The 25,012-nt window shown below is 42.0% G+C and overlaps 1 protein-coding gene and 1 long non-coding RNA gene across 3 annotated transcripts in view; one reads left to right on the top strand and one right to left on the bottom strand.

The window, feature by feature from the left end:
* Window positions 1,176-25,012, top strand: part of CCDC170 (coiled-coil domain containing 170) — a 127,177-nt gene continuing 103,340 nt past the window's right edge. For both annotated transcript variants that reach the window (NM_025059.4, XM_047419372.1), the window contains exon 1: window positions 1,176-1,344. In NM_025059.4, the coding sequence (NP_079335.2) occupies window positions 1,288-1,344 (57 nt within the window). In that variant the 5' untranslated portion in view covers window positions 1,176-1,287. The remainder of the gene's footprint in view (window positions 1,345-25,012) is intronic.
* On the bottom strand, window positions 3,566-5,365 carry LOC124901436 (uncharacterized). The gene is made up of 2 exons (XR_007059817.1): window positions 5,295-5,365; window positions 3,566-4,223 (listed from the first exon to the last, which is right to left on the bottom strand). It is a non-coding gene; the product is annotated as an uncharacterized LOC124901436 (long non-coding RNA).

Here is a 25,012-nt window from a genome sequence, read left to right on the forward strand (position 1 = left end):
TCTTTTTTTTTTTTTTTTTTTTTGAGGCAGATTCTTGCTCTGTCACCCAGGCTGGAGTGCAGTGGCTCAATCTTGGCTCACTGCAACCTCTGCCTCCCAGGTTCAAATGATTTTCCCTGCCTCAGCCTCTCAAATAGCTGTATTACAGGTGTCCGCTACCACGCCCGGCTAATTTTTGTATTTTTAGTAGAGACAGGGTTTCACCTTCTTGGCCAGGCTGGTCTCAAACTCCTGACCTCAAGTGATCCACCCATCTCAGCCTCCCAAAAGTGTTGGGATTACAGGAGTGAGCCACCGCGCCTGGCCCACCAAAAGCTTTAAAGTGAGGTGAATGCAGATTCCATTTTCAGATTCTGCTACAAATTGTGGGACCTTAAACAAGTTACTCATCTTCTCTGTGCTTTAGTGTTATGATCTGGAGCCTGATCTTCATTCTACCACTTACCCTGTACATCTTGGAAATTTTATTTTATTTCCCTGTGACTGTTGCCTTGTCTTGCAGATGGATTATTCTAACATCCACTTCATAATCTTGTTTCATTTAAGGAGATTGATCATACGTGGGAAGCACTTAGAACAGTGCATGGACGAGCACGAGTATTTCATAATGAGCAGCTGTGGCTGTTACTAACACTGGTATTACTAGTACCCGTACTTCCAGGCAGGGTTGTTGAGAAGGTGAAATGAAAGAACGCACACCAGGGCAGGCTACATAATTTGTGGACCCCGGTACAGAATGAAAATGCAGGACACCTTGTTCAAAACTTCCTAAAAACGTCAAGACTGGGACAGCTGAGTATTAAACCAAGCGCAGGACCCGGACCTGCACAGGTTGCACGCTCGCAGACACATTTGCACACAGTGTGTGCTAAATAAATGCTCCGTTCACCCTTGTGAAGTTTCCTATGCCTCACTCGCGCCAGCACCGTTCACAGTGCCCACTGGCTGTATTTATCGCTGACATAAGGATGAGGCCTGGAATTGCATTCACTGCAGAGTCCCACCGGGAGGACCGACCGTTATCCCCGCCGACTCCCCCCAGGTCGCCCTGGCAGTTTCGGCCGCTCAGTTGCAGGCCCTCGCCACGGAGGCCACGCTCGGGGGTTCGGGGTCCACCCCGGCCTCCTGCGGCCGGGCCACCCTACTCGCGCGCAGCCGCGCGCCGCCGCGTCCCCGCGGTGTTTACCCGTTGCCCGAGGAGACACCCGCGCCACCCGCCGGCTCCCGGCGCCGCCGCTTCCTCAGGGCCGGTTCCGGGTCCGAGCGCGCCCCCGGGCTCGGGTCGTCATGAGCCTGGACTGCACCAGCCATATCGCGCTGGGTGCCGCTTCGCCAGCGCCCGAGGTACGGTCCCAGCCGCCGGCCGCGCGCGGGGGTGGCCCTGGGGATAGACGACCCAGGAGGGGCCGAGGCGCCCCTGATTTGCACCCTTTTCCTCCCGGAGGCGTGGGCAGAATCAGAGCAGCTCTGTGCCCGCGAGGGCTGTGGCCTGGGACTGCCAGGGCGCTGATTTCAGGAGGGGATGGGCAGGACCGGAGTTTGCGGAGCGCGTCTGAATTTTAGGTTGTGCCACTCTGCTTCTCTGACCATTTAAACCGGTGACATTCGAAAGACTGTGGCCGGGCAGTTCCTCCCCGCCACCCCTGGGAGCAAAGAATTCCTTCATTTAACTTTCCCTGCTTAGCTACTGAAGTGTGCTTCGGAGCAATTTCTGGAAAATCTGATGTGGCAGGAGGAGGGCCAGCCCGGAGTAGAGTCACCGGCCCTTTCGTTGCGAAGTAATCCAGAAACGTTGGTAATTCAGTTGTTCCTGAATGCATCTACTCATTTACTCCCAGGAGTTACTTAGGTACTGGGGACTTTCAGGTATTAGATGTACCAATGCGCGCGCGCACACACACACGAACATGCGCGCATACACAGACGCTCGTGCACACACGCGAACAGGCACATACGCGAACAAACACGGGCGCGCACACACACGAACACGGGCATATGCATACTTGGGCGCACAAGAAGATCTGGCTGGCTCAGTCTGGGTTAAGAATCCCCCTTTGGCCTTGGCATCGGGGCCCACCGGGTATCGTGTGTATTGGGAGTAGTTGCCAGAGATGGGGGAATTGTGTTCAGCTCAACTGCTAACCGCAAGTAACTCACCCAATTAGTAAATGATGGAGGATTTTTCTTTCTTTCCAAAGTTTTGGACTTTTCCTACCACGCTGTGTACTGACCATAGATATCCCTGGGGGATGTAGTGGATTCAAAACATGAGTTGGATTCTCCAACGTGCCATCGGAATTCTTCTAATATTCAGCAGCTTTGATTGTTGTTTTACATCTGACCTGTATTTAGATTTCTCTGATTCCTGGAATATTTGTGGAAAATAAGTACCACTGTGTGCAAATAAAACTATTTTTTCTTTCTTTCTAACTCAGAGGCCAGTTACTAGATGTTTTTTCTTTCATCTGACATTTTCATATTTGACTTTATTAATTTTTATCCCAATGTGGTGTCTTAACCATACATAAGTATGTGGTATTTTTATATTATTAATATATATTTTTTTTGGTGAGCCCATTGAGAGTAAATTACAGCCATCATGATTCTTTCTTTCTCTCTCCTTTTTTTCTCTTGTTCTCTCCCTCCCTCCTTTTCTTTCTTTCTTCTTTTTTTCAGACAGGGTCTCACCTTGTTACCCAGGCTCGAGTGCAGTGGCACGATCTCGGCTCGCCGCCGCCTTGACACCCCTGGGTTCAAACGATCCTCTCACCTCAGCCTCCAGAGTAGCTGGGACTCCAGGCATGCCATGATGCCTGGATAATTTTTGTGTTCTTTGCAGAGGCAGAGTTTTATCGTGTTGCTCAGGCTGGTCTCAAACTCCTGAGCTCAAGCGATCCACCTGCCTCAGACTCCCAAAGTGCTGGGATTACAGAGATGCACTACCATGCCTGGTCCCCTATGACCTTTCATCTGTAAATACTCTGGTGTGTTATCTCCTATGAATAAGGGCATTCTCTAACGAACATACAATGATCAAAATCGGGATGTTTAGCATTGTGACAATAATATTATCTAATATACACGACCTACTAAAACTTTGCCACTTGTCCCAATTATGCCATTTATTGCCAATTTTTTTTCCATCTCAGGATCACACACTGTATTTAGTTATGTCTCCAGTCTCTTCAAACCTGGAACAGTTCTTCACATTTTTTTTGTTTGTTTTTTTGTTTGTTTGTTTTTGTCTTTGATGATACTGACATTTTTGCAGAGTCCAGGTCATTCGTTTTATAGAGTAAGTTTCTCTGATTGTCCTTCGTGATTAGATTTTTGGGTAGGAATAACATAAGAGATGTTATGTCTCAGAGTATCACATCAGGAGGGGCATATATCAGCTTATCCCATTATTGGTGATGTCCCCAGCTGGTGGCCTCTGCCAGATTTTTCCCCTTTAGCAATAAATAAGAAATCATATTAGTTGAGTAATAATATTGATTCGGATAGAAATTTTTAGCATAAGTCACTGCCTACAAAAGGAAAATGTCCATTAAGCATGAGATTTTAATTGGCTTAAAATAACTAAATTTTATTGAGAACAAAAGTAGCTGCAGAAAAGGCAGCATTTATTACAATTAAATGTTCAGTTTGCAAAATACTTTATCTGAGATCATCTTATAATTTAGATAGGCGGGGCAGAAATTTCTCACTATATAAGATGAGGAAATAGCTTACTGGATTAGAAATGATGGAGCAGGGACTTGTATCTTTCTTTCAAAAGCTTTGTACTTTTCCTACCATGCCAGACTGAAAACATTAAATTACAAAGCAGTGATAGTCTGCAACTTTCTGGAAAAGTAAAATACTGTAGAGACTGAGATACTAGTTTTAGACTCAAAACTAGATTCAAACAATCCTGATTATACCACTCATCTGTGACATCTTGGTCAAAACAATTAATGTATCAGCATTTTAGTTTTTTCTTCTAAAACATGGAATCATAAAACTTATCGCATAACGTAGTTTGAGGATTTCACGGTTAATAAATGTAAGGCACTCAAGAGAGTGTCTGACAGAATAAGTGCATATCAATATTAGCTATCGTTATTCTTTGTAACTTTTGGAATTTGCTTTGGTGTCAACACCACTGCACCTACTCCTACCATCATCACCAATGCTTCCATCAGTACTTCAGCCACCATCTCAATAGTCAGTGTTTTGAGAATCTGTAGGAGGGACAGAGGATACAAAAATGAATTGGAGATTGACCCTGCTCATAATGAAGAATTGACAGTTTACAATCCACTTTGGGAGGCAGAGGTGTGTGGATCGCTTGAGCCCAAGAGTTTAAGACCAGACTGGGCAACATGGCAAAACCCCGTCTCTACAAAAAACACAAAAAGTACCCAGGCATGGCCTGTAGTCCTAGCTACTTGGGAGGCTGAGGTGGGAGGATCACTTGAGCCCAGGAAGTTGAGGCTGTTGTGAGCCTTGATCGCACTACTGCACCCCAGCCTGGGCAACAGAACAAGACCCTGGCTCAAAAATAAAATAAAAATTAAAAAAGAGTTTACAATCAAGAAAAACAGACACATAAAAAGATTACTCCTTCATCAACACTAAAATTTAATGCTGCACTCTTCTCAAGTTGGATTTACCTATAATGCGATCACCAGCACAGCCTTACTGGGATGGAAAATGTGACAAATACTAACAGCAATATTATGAGAATTGAAGTGGAGCAGCCCAAACATGAAGGAAAGAGATATGCTTTGGGGGAAGTTTACAAACATAGCTTTCAGTAAGACTGCATAACTTTGTCATGCATTTGAAATAACGCTACCCAGTGAAAATGTGCTGGGTGCGGTGGCTCATGCTTGTAATCCCAGCACTTTGGGAGGCTGAGGCGGGAGGCTCACTTGAGGTCAGGAGTTCGAGACCATCCTGGCTAACATGGTAAAACCCCGTCTGTACTAAAAATACAAAAAGTAGCCAGGCTTGGTGGCAGGTGCCTGTAATCCCAGTTACTGGGGAGGCTGAGGCAGGAGAATTGCCTGAACCTGGGAGGCAGAGGTTGCAGTGAGCCAAGATTGTGCCACTGAACACACCATCTCAAAAAAAAAAAAAAAAAAAAAAAGAAAAGTGACCTAATTATAAAATAGGATCACCAGTCAGCAAAAAGCTGTAGCAATAGTTCTGTGGAAAGTGCTTGGATTCCAAATCCTCTGACACCAGTGAGAAGCCACAGACATATGGTGGCTTGTAGGCTCTCTTGCTGTGGCAGTGTTTTCACATACCTGGAAAACCTAGATCAAAGTTACAGCTCCAGTAGATACCATTGTTGGGAATTTGAGCATCTCTTTCCTTTCTGTAAAACAAGGGTTAATTAGAATAACTATCAACAGAATTGTTATGAGAAGCAAATGTAAATAGCAACACACTCTATCAGCAGCTATAGTTCCTCAAAACAAAGGACTTAGAGCTGGTCATAGCTAACTATAAAGGAGTTAAAGTCTGTTTTCCTTTTTCTTCCCATCATTTCTACTTTTAAAAACCTCATATAAAATACATATAACATAAAATTTGCCATCTTAACTTACAAATGTACAGTTTAGTGGCATTAAGTACATTCACATTGTTGTGCAACTGTTGCCACAAGCCATCTTCAAACCTTTGTTCATCTTGCAAAACTGAAACTCTGTACTCATTAAGCAATAACTTCACATTTCCTCCTCCCCACAGCTCCTAACAACCACCATTCTACTTTCTTTCTTTATGAATTTGACTATTCTAGGCATGCTGTATAAGTGGAATCAGACTGTATTTAACTATTCTAGGCATGCTGTATAAGTGGAATCAGACTGTATTTGACTATTCTAGGCACGGTGTATAAGTGGAATCAGACTGTATTTCAGTATTCTAGGCACGCTGTATAAGTACAATCAGACTGTATTAAACTATTCTAGGCATGCTGTATAAGTGGAATCAGACTGTATTTGACTATTCTAGGCACGCTGTATAAGTGGAATCATACTGTATTTGACTATTCTAAGCACTCTGTATAAGTGGAATCAGACTGTATTTGACTCTTCTAGGCACACTGTATAAGTGGAATCAGACTGTATTTGACTCTTCTAGGCACACTGTATAAGTGGAATCAGACTGTATTTGACTATTCTAGGCACGCTGTATAAGTGGAATCAGACTGTATTTGACTATTCTAGGCACTCTGTATAAGTGGAATCAGACTGTATTTGACTATTCTAGGCATGCTGTATAAGTGGAATCATACTGTATTTGACTATTCTAGGCACGCTGTATAAGTGGAATCAGACTGTATTTGACTATTTTAGGCACGCTGCATAAGTGGAATCAGACTGTATTTGACTCTTCTAGGCATGCTGTATAAGTGGAATCAGACTGTATTTGACTCTTCTAGGCACACTGTATAAGTGGAATCAGACTGTATTTGACTCTTCTAGGCACACTGTATAAGTGGAATCAGACTGTATTTGACTCTTCTAGGCACGCTGTATAAGTGGAATCAGACTGTATTTGACTCTTCTAGGCACGCTGTATAAGTGGAATCAGACTGTATTTGACTATTCTAGGCACGCTGTATAAGTGGAATCAGACTGTATTTGACTATTCTAGGCACTCTGTATAAGTGGAATCAGACTGTATTTGACTATTCTAGGCATGCTGTATAAGTGGAATCATACTGTATTTGACTATTCTAGGCACGCTGTATAAGTGGAATCAGACCGTATTTGACTATTTTAGGCACGCTGCATAAGTGGAATCATGCTGTATTTGACTATTCTACGCACTCTCTCTGTATAAGTGGAATCAGACTGTATTTGTCCTTCAATGACTGGCTTATTTCACTTAGCATAATGTCCTCAACGTTTCTTCATGATGTAACATGTATCAGAATTTCCTTCCTTTTTAAGCTTGAAATATATTCCATTGTATGCATATGTCATGTTCTGTTTATCCATTCATCTGTCTCTGCACACTTGTGTTGTTTCTATCTTTTGGCTGTTGTAAATAATGCTGCTATGAAAATGAGTGAACCAATATCTCTGTGAGACCCTGCTTTCAATTTTGAGGGATATATACCCGAAGTGAAATTGCTGGATCCTATGGTAATCCTATTATTACTTTTTTGAAGAACTGCCACTGTTTCCGTAGTGGCTGCACACATTTTACATTCTCACCAGCAGTGCACAAAGGTTTTCATTTCTCCACATCCTCACCCCCACTTGTTATTTTCTGTGTGTTTTCTTCCTTTATTGTAGCCTTTCTAATGGGTATGAGGTAGTATCTATTTCCACTTTTTAAAGAACCATTTCCTCCCTCTTCTGGTTTGCTCTGTTTTTTTTTTTTTTGTTCTACTCCTTTTTCTCAAAATCAAGTTTAAGAAGAGATCTGACTCTAGTTGCATGTCTTCATATGAACTTAAGTCAGAAGCCTTCTCTAGATATAAAGAAAACCAATCTCCACCCCACCACCCCCAAAAAGAGAATATAGAGAAAAAGAAACAGAAGGAATAGGGAAAAAAGAAAACATAAATTATAGTTGAAAGAAATACAAACATATCAGTAATTATGATAAATATATATGGAGAAAATGCTTAGTTAACTAAGAAAAGCCATATTGCATTAAAAAAATCTAAATATATACTATTTATGAAAGACACATTTAAACAAAAAGATATGGGAAGGTTGAAAGTAAAAGTGTATAAAAATGTGTATCAGGCACATAACAACCAAAATAAAATTGATTGGCTATATTAATATTATGCAAAATACTTTAACACAAGAAAAGCATTAGTAGTGGTAAAGAGAGTCACTAAATAATGATAAAAATTTCATTCATCAGGTAGTTGTAATAATTCTAAATGTATATGTTCCTAAGAACACAGCATCAAAATAGAAAAACAAAAATTGGCAGAAGCAAAAATCTATAAGGACAAATAGACAAATCCACAACTAAAGAGAATATTTTAAACATATCTCTTAGTATTTTGTAGATCAACCAGACAAAAATTTGGTAAGAGAGCTGCTAAAAGTGCTAAAATGCAAATTTGGTGACGTCACTGTGAAGAATAGAAATATGTAAAATATTTGGGATGTGGCTGTAAAAATTAACAGGATTATTTTTCCCCAATTACCCAAGGGAATAAATGCCTTTTGTCTATGAAATAATAAGCCAGACAAAAGCTTAGAAATTGTACTCTATTGGTAGGAAGTGAATTAGATGAGTAATTAAATGTTTCCCCTTGTTTTAAATTAAAATGCTTTATACTATTAAAAATAATGACTATCTAATTATGAGCAAACGTTAGACAAACCCACCTTGAAGGATATTCTACAATATGTTGACCAGGACTCTTCAAAAGTGTCAAGGTCAGGATTTGGGGAGACTAAGGAAAAATGAAAACTAAATGGCTTCTGGACTAGAAAAAGGACATTAGTGAAAAAAAAACTGATTATATTGGAATAAGGCCTATTACTTAGTTAATAGTGTTGTAACAATGTCAATGTCTTGGTTTTAATAGATTACCTTAGTTGTATAAGTCGTTATTATTAGGGGAAGCTGGCTAGAGGGCATATAGAAACTCTGTTTTGTTTTGTAACTTTTTTGGAATTCTAAAATTATTTCAGAATAAAAAAGTCTCAATAAATGATAACCAGTTAATCCGTTTACACATCCAACTTCATTTTAGCTTTAACATTTAGTTTCTCTTGGTATCTATCTGCTCTTTGACCACCTGGCTTTAGAGATGAGATAAAATCTTCAAAGAAAAGGTAGGGGAGAGCTTTTTGAATGCCAAACTTTTTCTTTGCATATTTTAAAGAGACTGCTTGTGTATTTACTTACTGTTACCAAATATAATGTGTAGTGTATTTCAAACAATAGTGAATACTCCTTGGTTTGTACTTGAATTGAGTTGACTAATAATTATAAAGACTTACTTTTTTCCATGTTCAAGGACAACTTGATTTTTTTTAATTGAAAAAGGGAGTAACATTTGCTGAGCCAGGAATTATTTATGCTATGCTCTTTTACCCAAGGTTTCCTTATTTCTTTGTTTTGCTTCCAACTTTCTTTCCTTTGATATTGGTGCTTTGGTGGCTTTGATCTAAGGCAGAGAAGTTCAAAGGCATTGCTGAGGCAGACCAGTAGCACCTCATTCTTTCTCTTACTGATACCAGCACAGCTATTGCTGATAGTTTATATATCTACATGTTCAGATATTGCTCATAAAAATAACTGTCTAAACCAGGCATGGTGACCCATACCTGTAATCCCAGCAACTCAGGATACTGAGACTGGAGGATCGCTTGAGCCCAAGAGTTTAGAGACTGCAGTGAACCACGATCACGCCACTGCACTCCAGGCTGTGTGCAGAGCAAGACTTTGACTCTAAAAATAATAATGACAATAATAATTAGTAAATAATAAATCAATAAATATCTGAGTTCCCTCATTAGTGCCATAGGGAGTGGGTCAGTCTCATAAAAATAAATATCTGAATTATATTTCTGAGTAACTGAAATGACTTCCTTTTCATTGACTGAATTTCCCTTATGCTTTTCTTCTTGAATCTTCCTTATTAGCTTCATATAAAAATGCATTTTTCAGCATATTAAGGCCATCATAGTCTAACCTCAATATCTGTGCAAGAAGGAACAATTTTAAGACTTGACTATAATTGTCCCATTTCCCTAAGTCTTTTCTACTTCAGACTAAAAGAAATGGATAGTTGAACACTGAAAAGGAACTCTTATTGTTGAAATCTTATGAATGTTTGGAGTAAGCAAAAATGAAAACTCAGGAGGAAATGGGAACCATAAATATTCTGCTTAGTGAATCATACATTGTATTAGTCACCCACTTGACAAACATTTATTGAGTCTTAGGCACTCTGTTAGGCACTGAAGATAAAGAACTTTTTTCCTTGACCAACTCTAAAATGAGTGCCCATTTTCAAGCAGGTGCTCTTTTAGATACGGTCCCCCTTTCACAAAAGTTATATCCGCGGCCAGGTGCGGTGGCTCACGCCTGTAATCCCAGCACTTTGGGAGGCTGAGGTGGGAGGATCACGAGGTCAAGAGATGGAGACCATCCTGGCCAACATGGTGAAACCCCGTCTCTACTAAAAATACAAAAAATCAAAAAATTAGCTGGACATGGTGGTGCGCACCTGTAGTCCCAGCTGCTCGGGAAGCTGAGGCAGGAGAATTGCTTGAAACCGGGAGGCAGAGGTTGCAGTGAGCCGAGATCACGCCGCTGCCCTCTGGCCTGGCGACAGGGCGAGACTACATTTAAAAAAAAAAAGTTATATCCTGGTGTGAGAAATAGATTTTTAAAAAGTAAACAAATAGACAAACAAGGTAATTTTAGAGTGTTAAGTCCTTTGAAAAGAAAATAAAGCAGAATAACAGGATGGAGATGGAATGGGGTGAGGGCTAAAGTCTAGTCTGGGTAGGGTGGGTAGGGTTGGCTCCCCAAGGAGATAACATGCTGAATTGGAATAGTCTTAGAAACAGCAAGAGCGGTGCCAGGCCCTTGGGTGGGAATGAGCTTGATGTGTTTATTTTTATTTTTATTTTTATTTTTTTGAGGTGGAATCTTGCTCTTGTCACCCAGGCTGGAGTGCAATGGTGCGATCACAGCTCACTGCAACATCCGCCTCCCAGGCTCAAGCAATTCTCCTGCCTCAGCCTCCCGAGTAGCTGGGGTTACAGGCATGCACCACCACGCCCAGCAAATTTTTGTATTTTTAGTAGAGATGGGGTTTCACCATGTCGTCCAGGCTGGTCTTGAACTCCTGAGCTCAGGTGATCCACCTGCCCCAGCCTCCCAAAGTGCTGGGATTACAAGGGTGAGCCACCGCGCCCAGCAATGTGTTTAGAAAGAGTGCAGTTTGTGGAATGTTCCTCGATTTGGGTATATCTAATGTTTTCTCATGATTAGATTCAAGTTAATCATTTGGGGCACTTTTGGCAATTGGATAAGAGGTGTGTTTTTCTCAGTGCATTGCAGATGGAACCTTGTGCCAGAAGACAAAAAAAGGCTGCAAAACTGTTCCAGATTCAACAGACTAAATATACTTGGCAGCTACATGCAATGCATTTATTGTTTCTCTAAGGAACATTATTGAGATAATTGGTGAATAATATAGTGTCATTGTTAAATTTCTTGAATTTGACAGTTGTATGAAGAGGAATGTCCTTGTTCTTAGAAAATACAAGCTGAAGTGTTTAGAGGTAAGGGACCATAGTGTGTGCAAATTGCTCACAAATGATTCAGCAATCATATTGTAATATACGCATAGAGAAAGGAATACATCAAATGTAGCACAATGTTCTCACAATTGGTTAATCAAAGTGAAACATACTTGAGTTCCTTGGATTATTCTTGCAACTTTTCCGTAGGATTGAAATAAAAATGAAAAAAAAATTATGTGCCAGGCAACAAATGGAGTTAAAAAGTAGAAGGCATTGTTTCACTCCAACTATGGAGCTTACTTACAGTTGAGTTAGGTAAATAGTAATTGGTAATAAATAAAATTTTTACCAATTTTACCAATAAAAAATAATTGGTAATAAATAAAATTTTTACCAATTTTACCAATAAAAAATAATTGGTAATAAATAAAATTTTAAAAAGGAAGAAGGCAAGCATCACTAGAGTAAATATATGGTCTCAGAGAAGGACCTAGAGGGACAGACACAATGAACAAACAGAATTACACAGTGTGCTGTAGCAGACCAGGGAGGGACGAGGGATGGGAAGTTTTGCTGAGGTTACTGGGGCAATGGTGGTGATGGTCAGGGGGTAATGCTGACCTTGATGTGCCATCAGGACATGCAAATGATGGTCACTAGACGGTTGGAAATGTCAGTCTCTAGTTAGAGATGCAGATTTGGGAGCTACTAGATACTGGAAGTGGCTGAGATCGCAGGAGGGCATGAAGTAAACCGGTGAGAATGTCCCAGTGATGAGGAGAGAGCGTCGAGGACAGAACCCAGCAAATATCAAGTTGTGAGTGGGTGAAGGAAGTGAGCTGCAGTAGGGACTGAGTGGAGGGCTAGAGAAGTGGGAAAAAGGAGAGACGCTCAGTAGAGAATGGGGGCGTGAGAGTAAGGAGGATTCCCCAGCAGTAAGTGATTTGTGTGTCAAGGCCCAAAAAGGAGGTCAAGTCAGGTAGAGAGTAAAAAGTGTCACCTGGACTTGGTGGCCCGCGGAGCTGCCCGCTGGCCTCCTGGGCACTTCTCTTAGTCTTTGTCATTCATTCTACTCCTAGGAGCTGTGCTGCCCGCAGACCTTCTCTGAGAGGTTCCCTTCTCAGTGGCCTGCATACTAGGAAGCCAGGAACCAGCTGGAGTGTTTATGCCCACCAAGCATCCAGGTCCCAAGAGGGCAGGCGGCATCTCAGCACTGGTCCTGCCTCCCCTTTCCCCTGTGTTGGTGGCACACATTCCCTTTCAGGTGGGAAAATGGGTCCCATACGGATTGTTCTCCACTCTAGGATTAAAAGCAAGGATTCTTACTGGGCGTGGTGGCTCATGCCTGTAATCCCAGCACTTTGGGAGGCCGAGGTGGGCAGGTCACGAGGTCAGGAGATCGAGACCATCCTGGTTAACACGGTGAAACCCTGTCTGTACTAAAAATACAAAAAAATTAGCCGGGCGTGGTGGCTGGTGCCTGCAGCCCCAGCTACCCGGGAGGTTGAGGCAGGAGAATGGCGTGAACCCGGGAGGCGGAGCTTGCAGTGAGCCGAGATGGCACCACTGCACTAGAGCCCAGGCGACAAAGCGAGACTCCGTCTCAAAAAAAAAAAGCAAGGATTCTTGTGCTGTGACTCCTCAAGGCTTTGCTATTGATATGCAAAACCATGCTTTTGAAATTGTAATTCTACTTCTGTTCCAGAAAGCCTACTTCTTAAAAATCAAGAACTCTAGGCTGGTCATGGTGGCTCATGCTTATAATCCTAGCAGTTTGGGAGGCCAAGGCAGGAGGATCTCTTGAAGCCAGGAGTTTAAGACCAGCCTGAGCAACATAGTGAGACCCCATCTCTACAAAAAAATTAAACAAACAAACAGCGGGCATGGTGGTGTGTGCCTGTAGTTCCAGCTACTCAGGAGGTTGGGGCAGGAGGGTACCTTGAGCACAGGAGTTCAAGGCTGCAGTGAGCTATGATTTGTACCACTTCACTCCAGCCTGGGTGATGGAGTGAGACCCTGTCTCTAAAAAATAAATAGAGAAATAAAAGAATTCTATAGCTCTGGAAATCTTCCAGTGTTGGCCTGAGTTATATCCTCATGGACCCATCAGCAATATCTACCCACAAAATATACCTCCAAGTAATGGAATGAATTGACTTATTACGTGGATTTATTTAGAATTGACAATTAGAATTTTAGAGAATAATTGCCAAGAAATGATTATAGTTTTGACCATATTGGCTGTTAAGTGTTTCTTTCTGATAGTAATTAACCAACTATTTAAAGTCATGTCTGGTTCACGATTTTAAACCATGCCATTTGAGTAGAGATCAATGCCTGTGCTTCTATTCGTGAAGGCAAATGGGCAGACTGACATTTACCTAACAGTGAAATTAAAATATTCAGATTTATTCAAGCTTACAAAGATAGATTTATTCAAGATGCAGGCGATAGAGTTTCATTTCACATCATTTTGACCTGGAGACAGTTTATTCCTTCTCCAATCCTGGCAGGGATATTTGCATGAAGATTTTTGTAACCTTGTGTAATGGTCTGGTATTAACCTTAAGACCACACTCTTTTGGAAACACAGGATGTGATGGTTCATTTTATGTATTGCTGGGAAGTTTTTTTGGTTTTGTTTGTTTGTTTGTTCTTAGATGAGATTAGCATTTAAATCAATAGACTGAAAGTAAAGTAGATGGCCCTCTGTAATGTGGGTGGGCCTCATCCAAGCCATTGAAGGCCTAAAGAGAAAAGACTAAGATTTCCCAAGGAACAGAGAATTCTGCCTCCACAATCCCTTTAGACTTGAGCTGCAATATCAGTTCTTCCCTGGGTCTCGGGGCTGCTGGCCTGTCCTGCAGATTTCCGACTTGCCAGTCACCACAATCTTGTAAACCAGTTCCTTAAAATGAATCTCTCTCTATGTACATACACATCCTATTGGTTCTGTTTCTCTGGAGAATCCTGACTAATACACAGGGGAACTTCACTGTGAGTCCTTCCATGCTTGAGGGGTTTGTTGAAATGAGGGGATCTGGAGCCCACACAGAGGGCAGGGTATAGCTAGGCCCACAGGTACTTCACACACAGACCCAAAGCTGGGAAGAGCCTGTTGTAGCCCCTGCCCAATTTCGTAGAGAGACAGGGCTGACCAATCCATCGGTGCTCACGGTAGCCTAACATACTTTTAAGGATCCATGAGAATGTTCTATATTTTTTTTAATCAGTAGAGAAAAAAAAATGAGCTTTGAAGTTGAAAAAATTACAGATGATCCCCAACTTATGATGGTTCAACTTAGAATTTTTCAAATTTACCATGGGTTTATGAGGTTGCAACCCCATTGTAAGTTCAGGAGCATCTGTGTTTTGATACATAATATTTTGATATATTCATCTTTATACTAATGCAGTCACAAAAAATTATTTTTAATATCTTCTATGAAAGAAGGGACCCATGAAGGCAAAAGTGTATAGGGCCCACAAAAGTTATAAGGCAGCCCTGTAGGGAGATGAAACTGTGTGTAGAAACATTATGTAGAAAACATTGATAAATATTGGCCAGGCGCAGTGGCTCATGCCTGTAATCCCAGCACTTTGGGAGGCCGAGGTGGGCAGATCACGAGGTCAAGAGATCGAGACCATCCTGGCCAACATGGTGAAACCCTGTATCTACTAAAAATACAAACATTAGCTGGGTGTGGTGGCATGTGCCTGTAATCCCAGCTACTCGGGAGGCTGAGGCAGGAGAATCGCTTGAACCAGGGAGTCGGAGGTTGCAGTGAGCCGAGATCGTGCCACTGTACTCCAGCCTGATAACAGAGTGAGCTCCATCTCAAAAAAAAAAAAGAAAGAAAGAAAAGAAAACATTGATAAATATTAATAATAGAAGAGTTACTACTAGGTGATAGATAATAGAAAATTCAGTCTTAAAGTTGTTTGCTCCTCTTCCTATAGGTTGATATGAAACTGATGAGTATTGAAATGACATCCAACAGTCTTCAGTCTCCCTAGTTCCACAGTTTTGTGGCACTAGAGCATTGCTCTTTTGGAAGATGGCATTAACTATATTTCAAGTCTATGTAAGGGAAATATTCCTGAGGAGCTAATTTAAATCAATAGCTTATTAAGGTTTCAAGCATACCACTCAACATATGAGCTAAAATATTACATCTGCTGGGCCCAGTGTCTCACGCCTATAATCCCAGCACTTTGGGAGGCCAAGGCGGATGGATCACCTGAGGTCAGGAGTTTGAGTCTAGCCTGGCCAACATGGTGAAACCCTGCCTCTCCTAAAAATACAAAATTAGCCAGGCATAGTGGGGGGGCGCCTGTAGTCCCAGCTACTGGGGAGGCTGAGGCAGAAGGATTGCTTGAACCCAGGAGGCAGAGGTTGCAGTGAGCAAAGATCATGCCATTGCACTCCAGCCTGGATGACAAGAACGAAACTCCATCTGAAAAAAACCAAAAAAACCCCAAAAATTAGCCGGGAGTGGTAGCGTGTGCCTGTAATCCCAGCTACTCAGGAGGCTGAAGCACAAGAATTGCTTGAACCCAGGAAGTGGAGGTTGCAGTGAGCTGAGATCACACCACTGCACTCCAGCCTGGGTGACAGAGTGAGACTCTGTCTCAAATAAATAAATAAATAAATAGGCCGGGCGTGGTGGCTCACGCCTGTAATCCCAGCACTTTGGGAGCCTGAGGCAGGTGGATCACCTGAGGTCAGGAGTTTGAGACCAGCCTGACCAACATGGAGCAATCCCGTCTCTACTGAAAATACAAAATTAGCCGGGCGTGGTGGCGAACGCCTGTAATCCCAGCTACTTGGAGGGCTGAGGCAAGAGAATCACTTGAACCCAGGAGGCGGAGGTTGTGGTGGGGCGAGATCATGCCATTGCACTCCAGCCTGGGCAACAAGAGCGAAACTCCTTCTCAAAAAAAAAAAAAAAAAATACAAAAATAAATATTACATCTTAGAAAAATTTTCATTTTAAACTAAAATTTATCAAGTGTCTAATAATAAGTGAAGTGAAAAAAATCCCATTTGGGAAGAGTTCTAAAATCTTTAACATGTGGAAAGATCTCTTTCTCTCTCTCTCTCTCCCCCCTTTCGCTCTCTCTGTCTCATCTATCTATCTATGTATCTATCTATCTATCTATCTATCTATCTATCTATCTATGAATGATAATGATGAATAAAGTGTCTCATCTCGTTGTCAACAGGGACTTCTCATTCCACCATTCCTTTCTCAGTGGCTATTCCATATGTGACATTGTTCCCAAATTTGCATTCATTATTCTTGACAGCTATACCCAATACCTCCCATGGAGGTAGATCCTGTACAAATGCTAAAAAACTGCTAGTTGCTTAAAATAGGACCTGAAGTTAATTAATTTTTTGAGTCCAGCCTAAGAAATTATCTTACTAACTTGAACAGATATTTTTAAGCTTCATAGAACTTTATATTAAACTAAATTATAAGCTCCCAAATCAACAAGATCCAATCTGTACATTTATGAATGTGTACAGTTATGAACGTGGAAGAATCCATTTTCCAAAAAGTGGTTAGAAAGAGATTTATGAATTAATTAAAATTAAATCAATTATTTGAGCTTAACATTACTTATGGAAATGCAAGTGATTGTTACAATAGTCTTGGAGACAGCAATATCAAGCATCAGAAAATCATTCAATTTAGGGAAAGGTGATCATTTCAACTTTTAGCCAGGCATATATGGGACAATAACATTGTGAGTAAGAGGCCAGGCGTGGTGGCTCACGCCTGTAATCCCAGCACTTTGGGAGGCCAAGACAGCTGGATCACAAGGTCAGGAGTTCCAGACCAGCCTGGCCAACATAGTGAAACTCCGTCTCCACTAAAAATACAAAAATTAGCCAGGCATGGTGGTGCGCGCCTGTAATCCCAGCTACTCAGGAGGCTGAGGTATGAGAATCGCTTGAACCTGGGAGGTGGAGGTTGCGGTGAGAAAAGATTGCACCACAGCCTAGGCAACAGAAAGAGACTCCGTCTCAAAAACAAACAAGCCCATAAAACAAATAAACAAACAACAACAACAAAAAAACATTCTGAGTAAGAGCATGGGCTTTGGCGTCAGAAAGTCTTGGTTTGAATTCTTACTGTGTCATTTTGTTCATTCATTCCTCAAATATTTACTGATACTCAGTCACTGGGGCTACAGTGATGAACCAGAAGCCATTCTTCTATCTCTGTGGTAGAAAAAGAGCTTCCGAGAAAAATTTCACACTTATGCTAATTCTAGAAATGAGTTATTTATTACAGTAAAAACTGAAGAAAAAGGCAAAACAAAGCATTTTAATGTTTTCTGATTAACAAGTGAATTTAAATGTCATATATCAGTGAGGTTACAGAATAAAGATACTGAAGTCAGAGAGGGTGTGTTAATATAATTTCCCATAATGTACGTCTGCCATGCAAAAAAAACCCTTGAGATTAAGATTCGATATTGCAAAGGAGGTGATGAGGAGCTTTTAAAGATAGAATGAGTTAAGGAAATAATTGCAAACTTATTAGTCAGGACACTCATAACAAGATACAGAAAAATCGTAAATTAGATAGAAAGGGACTTTCACCCTAACAAATATTAAGGTTTATAATTTTATAAGTAAGTTTTTTTTCTTCTTCTTTTTTTTTTATAGAGTCTCGCTTTGTCACCCAGGCTGGAGTGCAGTGGCACAATCTCAGCTCACTGCAACCTCCACCTCCTGGGTTTAAGCAATTCTCCTGCCTCAGCCTCCTGAGTAGCTGGGATTACAGGTGCCTGCCACCATGCCTGGTTAATTTTTGTATTTTTAGTAGAGATGGGGTTTCACTATGTTGGCCAGGCTGGTCTCGAACTCCAGACCTCAGGTGATCCACCTGCTTCGGCCTCCCAAAGTGCTGGGATTTCAGGTGTGAGCCACTGCACCCAGCCTCAAGGTAAGTATTTTATAGATGTTTTATAGTTTTGTCCTTACCTAATAAGATGTGGATGAACAATTCATGGCTTTGCCTCTCCAGTGTATCTTGGTCGACTGTCTACTACGCTTTCCAGTTCTTCTAAAACTCACTAACTTTGCTTCTAAGTTTTTGTCTAGCGAGGGCTAATTTTTAAAATAGGGGGTTTATTATTTCCTGGTTTTACAAGACGTAGTGAAATTCCATCTATACTTGTTCTAGGGGGCTATTGTTTGCCCCCTAGAGTATAACACTAGTAAAGTGTTATAATTAAGTTCAGCCAGGTATTTTTATCTTTGACGTGCTAACCCTGTAAAGTGACCAGAGGGAAGAAGCCTTTCTGTTTGTCTATTTATCTTCCCATCCATGTGCTCATTCATTTATCCATCCATTAATTTATTCAACAAACATTAAATGTATATTCATTCACCAGATATTTATGGGGTGTTCATTATGTGCTAGGAAATGTGCTTGGTGCTAAGGATAAAAATATAATTGATTTCTAGCTTCTGCCTTCAAACACACAACCTTGTAGCTGACTCGTTCATTTATTAATGCCCAACATATATTTCATGAGTGCATACTATCTGCCAGGCACTGTTGCAGACACAGTACTGGAAAACAGAGGGCCTGCTCTCACGGAGCTTACATTCTAGTAGGTAGACATAAAACACAAGATGTTTTTGAGAGGTCCAAGAAGATAAGATTTGAATTTTTGTTTATCTTAATCTTAATTTACATTTTTGTATATGTTTGGTACCGTGCATAATATGTACAGTAGTATATGTATATCTTTTTTATTTTTGAGACAGGGTCTCAGTCTCTGCCACCCAGACTGGACTGCGGTGGCACGATCAGAGCTCTTTGCAGCCTCGATTTCCTGGGCTTGAGCCATCTCCCACCTCAGCCTCCTGAGTAGCTGGGACCATAGGGACACTACCATGCCTGGCTAATTTTTTAATTTTTGTAGAGACAGGGGTCTCACCATGTTGCCCAGGCTAGTCTCAGACTCCTGAGCATAAGCAATCCTCTTATCTCAACCTCCCAATGTGCTGGGATTACAGGGGTAAGCCACTGCACCCAGCAGTATACCGTTTTTTTTTGTTTTTTTTTTTTTTTGAGATGGAGTCTCGCTCTGTTGCCCAGGCTGGAGTGCAGTGGCATAATCTAGGCCCACTGCAGCCTCTGTCTCCTGGGTTCAAGCCATTCTCCTGCCTCAGCCTCCCGAGTATCTGGGACTATAGATGTGTACCACCACACCTGGCTAATTTTTGTATTTTTAGTAGAGAGGAGGTTTCACCATGTTGGCCAGCCTGGTCTCGAACTCCTGACCTCTAGTGATCCACGGGCCTTGGCCTTCCAAACTGCTGGGATTACAGGCATAAGCCACTGCACCCGGACCCAGTAGTATATCATTTTAAAATAAACACATATTTAAATTTGTTTCATAAACTCATACCAAGAGCTTGCAGACAAAAACATTTACAAACCCCAGGGTAAAAGCATGGGTGTTAGGATCAGAGACTTGTGGGTTTGAATCCAGGTTCTGCTTTACTCGTTGCCTGTGGGTCCTTGGGTAAGCCCGAGTTCCTCCTCCTTTCTAAGAACTGTTGTAAGGGTTGAGTGCAATAATGTTAGTAAAGTGTTTAACCGAGTTCCTCCTCCTTTCTAAGAACTGTTGTAAGGGTTGAGTGCAATAATGTTAGTAAAGTGTTTATGTTGCGTCTGTATATACCAAGTCCTTAAAAAAAGGATGACTAATGTTACTACTATGATTATTCTTCGTGTGATAAATATTATAATACAGACACCTCTTAAAGGGCATATAGAAATATTGAGAAGGAACTGATTAAGCAGTGACCCTTAAAGTCATGAACCTATGGTACATAATTGGTGGGAGTGTAAGTTGGTGCTATTTTCTATGCAATGTGTATCAAAACAATTTTTATTTCCTTTGACTCAGTTGTTTCTTTTCCAGAGAAACAACTTTCCTCATCCTAAGGAAACAGTCAGAATTCTAACAGATTTATAATAGTGATCAATTAGAAAGAGAACGAAATGTCGAATCGCGGGAGAGTAGTCAACTTAAAATACAGCTTTATGATGGAATATTGTGCAGCTGTTAACATTTTAAAAGAACACTTGGGGAAATATTAATATTAAATGTAGAAAACAGGTTGTAAAGTTGTAGTTACAGTATAACCCCAATTATATTTTTAAAAAGCACATGATATATTTGTATTAGAAAAACACTATAAAGAAATGCATCAGACAGGGATGGTGGCTCACGCCTGTAATCCCAGCACTTTGGGATGCCAAGGCGGGCAGATCACTTGAGGTCAGGAGTTCAAGAACAGCCTGGCCAACATGGTGAAACCCTGTCTTTACTGAAAATACAAAAATTAGCTGGGCATGGTGGTGCACACCTGTAGTTACAGCTACTGGGGAGGGTGAGGCAAGATAATTGCTTCAGCCTGGGAGGCAGAGGTTGCAGTAAGCCGAGATCCCACCACTGCACTCCAGCCTGGATGATAGAGTGAGAGAGGCTCCGTCTCAAAAAAAAAAAAAAAAAAAAAAAGCCAGGCACCATGGCTCATGCCTGTAATCCCAGCACTTTGGGAGGCTGAGGTGGGTGAATCATTTGAGGTCAGGGGTTCTAGACCAGCCTGGCCAAGATGATGAAAACCCCGTCTCTACTAAAAATACAAAAATTAGCTAGGCAGTAGTGGCATTCGCCTGTAATCCCACCTACTCCGGAGGCTGAGGCAGGAGAATCGCTTGAGCCTGGGAGGTGGAGGTTGTGATGAGCCAAGATCATGCCACTGCACTCCAGTCTGGATGACAGAATGAGACCCTGTCTCAAAAAAAAAAAAAAAAAAAAGAAAAAAGAAATGCATCAAAATACAATAGAGTTATCTCTGATAAGACTGTGGGTGGCATTCATTTTTTTCATCGATTAGACAATCACAGAAATATTAACCAAGATAAATAAAGCAAGATGAGCATGTGGGCAGGAGTGGTAACTGGGATAAAAAGAAATTTTGACCAGCCTGGACAACATGGTGAAACTCCATCTCTAAAAAATTACAAAAATTAGCTGGGCGTGGTGGCACGTGCTTGTAGTCCCAGCTACCTGGGAGGTTGAGATAAGACGATAACTTGAGACTGGGAGGTCAAGTCTGCAGTGAGCCGTGATCATGCCACTGCACTCCAGCCTGGATGACAGAGTGAAATCCTGGAAAGAAAGAAACGAAAGAAAATGAAAGAAAGGAAGGAAGGAGGGAGGGAGGGAGGGAGGGAGGGAGGGAGGGAGGGAGGAAGGAAGGAAGGAAGGAAGGAAGGGAGGGAAATTTTGCCTGGGGATCCTAGGAAGCCTTCACAAAAATGCCAGTTCCAACTCTTGAATGGGGCCCAGACTTTTGCCCAGTGGAGAAGCAGCTTGTGAAGAAAGAGGAAGAACCCAGAAGGTGAAACAGCGATGAAAGCTCTGTGGCATGCCGAGACACATTTAATTTTTTCCATGTGACTGGAGGTCAGGCTAGATATTGGGCATTGAGGCAGAAACCCTGGGAATGTGGGTTTTGGCTGATAGAGAAGAGACTCACATACCTTAAGGAGTTTATTCCTTACCTTGTCTATCGTGGGCAGCTTTGTAGGTGGGGAAAGATGGATCAGGTCTGCATTTCAGAGTGGCTACTTTGTGGCAGCACAAAGGTTAGGTCGGCACAAAGTGAGTCGGAAGGGAGAGCAGTGAGGAGCCTCTTGCTTCAGTCTCCATTCTTTTTGGATGAAGCCTTGGCAGAACCATTCATTTCCATCCTAATATTGAAATGCCTTCACATTATTACATCAGCTTAGGCTATGTGACTTTTGAAAGCTTGGTAGGTTGGTGTCAGATAAATGAGGCCTTCACACTCACTCACCTGGTCTCTGCAAGAAACTGGATCAAGGTGATGAGGAATGCACTCTTAATACCTGAACAAGAGGTCTTGGAAATTGTGTTTCTTATATTAACTAAACAAATGTAGTCAAATGCTATTATAAAGGATTGGCTGAAGAATATGCATTTCATTCATTCTATGCTCTACTTCAAAATTATCCTTGAAATGCAAGAGCCTGGGAGAGATGTCTACTTGGACTACATTGTTTGGACCCTGTTTTAGGCATTGGCATTACGCCATTAGATTTGTAAATCAAAAAGTATCTGAGACAAGTCTCCATCAATTTATTTACTTATTTATTGAGACGGAGTCTCACTCTGTCACCCAGACTGAAGTGCAATGGTGTGATCTTGGCTCACTGCAACCTCTGCCTCCCAGGTTCAAGCGATTCTCCTGCCTCAGCCTCCCAAGTAACTGGGACTACAGGTGCACATCACCACACCTGGCTAATTTTTGTATTTTTAGTAGAGACAGGGTCTCACCATATTGGCCAGTCTGGTCTGGAACTCCTGACCTCAGGTGATCTGCCTGCCTTGGCCTCCCAAAGTGCTAGGATTGTAGGCGTGAGCCACTGTGCAGGTGGGAAGCCCAGGTTCTTGTTATATAGATGATGCCTCCAGGTAGCAGGCTTCAGAGACAATAGATGGTAAATGTCTTCTTATCAGACCAATAAAAGGTGGTAGACTCTCCTGAAAAGACCTAATAAAGGAGAGAGATTCTTTACAGAATATACATTTCCTTCACAAGAGACAGCTTTGCAGGACCACTTAAAAATATGACAAAGAAAGTGTGGCGCAGTGGCTCATGCCTATAATCTCAACTCTTTGGAAGTCCGAAGCGGGTGGATCACGAGGTCAAGAGATCAAGACCATCCTGGCCAACATGGTGAAACCCTGTCTCTACTAAAAATACAAAAATTAGCTGGGTGTGGTGGCACATGCCTGTAGTCCCAGCTACTCGGGAGGCTGAGGCAGGAGAATCACTTGAACCCTGGAGGCAGAGGTTGCAGTGAGCTGAGATCGCGCCACTGCACTCCAGCCTGGTGACAGAGCAAGATTCTGTCTCAGAAAAAAAAAAAAAAGAAAAGACAAATATATTTTGAGGTAAAATACTTCGATTTCTTTCAGGGCTGTTATCTGTCATATAATGCTATACTAGAGTCAGGTTGGAATTTGGTATCTTATTGCTACAGGAGTCTGTTCTCTCAGTCTTAAGATCTCTGTTTTAATGTTAATGCTGGTCAGTTGTGTCTGAATTCCAAAGGGAGAAGGGTATAATGAAGTATGTTGGGCCTCCATTTTCCATCAAGGCTTGAACTAGTTTCAGGTTTACTTTGGAATGCCCTTGGCCAAGAGGAGGTCTCCATTCAGTCAGTTGGAAGGCTTAGAATGTTATTTTTAGTTGATAGATTGTTTTGTGGGTTTTGAAATTTGTCATGATTTCTTGTCATGAATGGGTGTGTTGTAACTGAGCAGGTTCTTTGCTTTACCATGAGGTCCTAGTAAATCATGTTGAAGCGGTGTTGTTGTCTAGGGTAAATACCCAGGGTTTGTCATCTCGCACCAAGAAGATTAAGGACACAGACACACATGAGGAGTGAGTTTAGGAGCAGAGGTTTGATAGGCAAAAGAAAGAGAAAGAAGAACAGCTCTCTCCCTTGAAAGAGAGAGGAGTTCCTGAAAGGGAAAAACTGGTCAGCTCTAGACTGTACCAGATTTTACAGGCAGGCTTGAGGAGACAGTGTCTGATTTACGTAGGGCCCAGAGATTGGTTCAACCAGGTGCGATGTTTACCTAGTGCGTGGGGAAGGCTGGTGGTCCCACCCTAATCTTATTATGCAAATGGAGTCTTTGCCTGGCTGGTGCCATATTGTCTTTTCCTTACTGTGCACATGCTTTGGCAAAAAGAGAGAAGATGAACATGCCTAGTCCCAGGAAGCCTTTTCCTTTTGGCACAACTGCCAACTTCCACCCATGCAAGCTTCCAGCTTACTTGTCTATGCCTGCAGCTTGATTTTACAAGCTGCTCTTTGTTAGGAAAGAAAATGATTTTGGGGCCGGGCACAGTGGCTCACGCCTATAATCCTAGCACTTTGGGAGGCCTAGGTGGATGGATACCTGAGGTCAGGAGTTGGAGACCAGCCTGACCAACATGGAGAAACTGTCTCTACTAAAAATACAAAATTAGCCAAGTGTGGTGGCACATGCCTATAATCCCATCTACTCGGGAGGCTGAGGCAGGAGAATTGCTTGAATCTGGGAGGTGGAGGTTGCAGTGAGCCAAGATCACCCCATTGCACTCCATCCTGGGCAACAAGAGTGAGACTGTGTCTCAGTAAACAAAAAACAAAAGAAAATTATTTTGGGGCTGCTTTTCATTTAAAAGAAAACCTTACTGAGGACTCCCATACCCTTACTAATGATTTCTTCTTCTTCTTTTTTTTTTTTTTTTTGAGATGGAGTCCTGCACTGTCACCCAGGCTGCGTGCAGTGGCACAATCTCGGCTCACTGCAGCCTCTGCCTCCTGGGTTCAAGCAATTCTCCTGCCTCAGTCTCCTGAGTAGCTGAGATTACTGGTGCCCAACACCATGCCTGGCTAATTTTTTTTTTCTTTTTGTATTTTTAGTAGAGACGGGGTTTCACCATGTTGGTCAGGCTGGTCTCGAACTCCTGACCTCGTGATCCACCCACCTCGGCCTCCCAAAGTGCTGGGATTACAGGCGTGAGCCACCGTGCCCGGCCACTAATAATTTCTTCTTAACTCCTGTATCAATGTGACTCATGTCTGTCGACTTGGAAGGGCCAAGTCAAGCTGTGGTCTACCTCTAGGAAGTGTACAATACTCACAGCACAT

The sequence above is a fragment of the Homo sapiens genome, chromosome 6 (assembly GCF_000001405.40).
Source record: "Homo sapiens chromosome 6, GRCh38.p14 Primary Assembly".
NCBI lineage: Eukaryota > Metazoa > Chordata > Mammalia > Primates > Hominidae > Homo > Homo sapiens.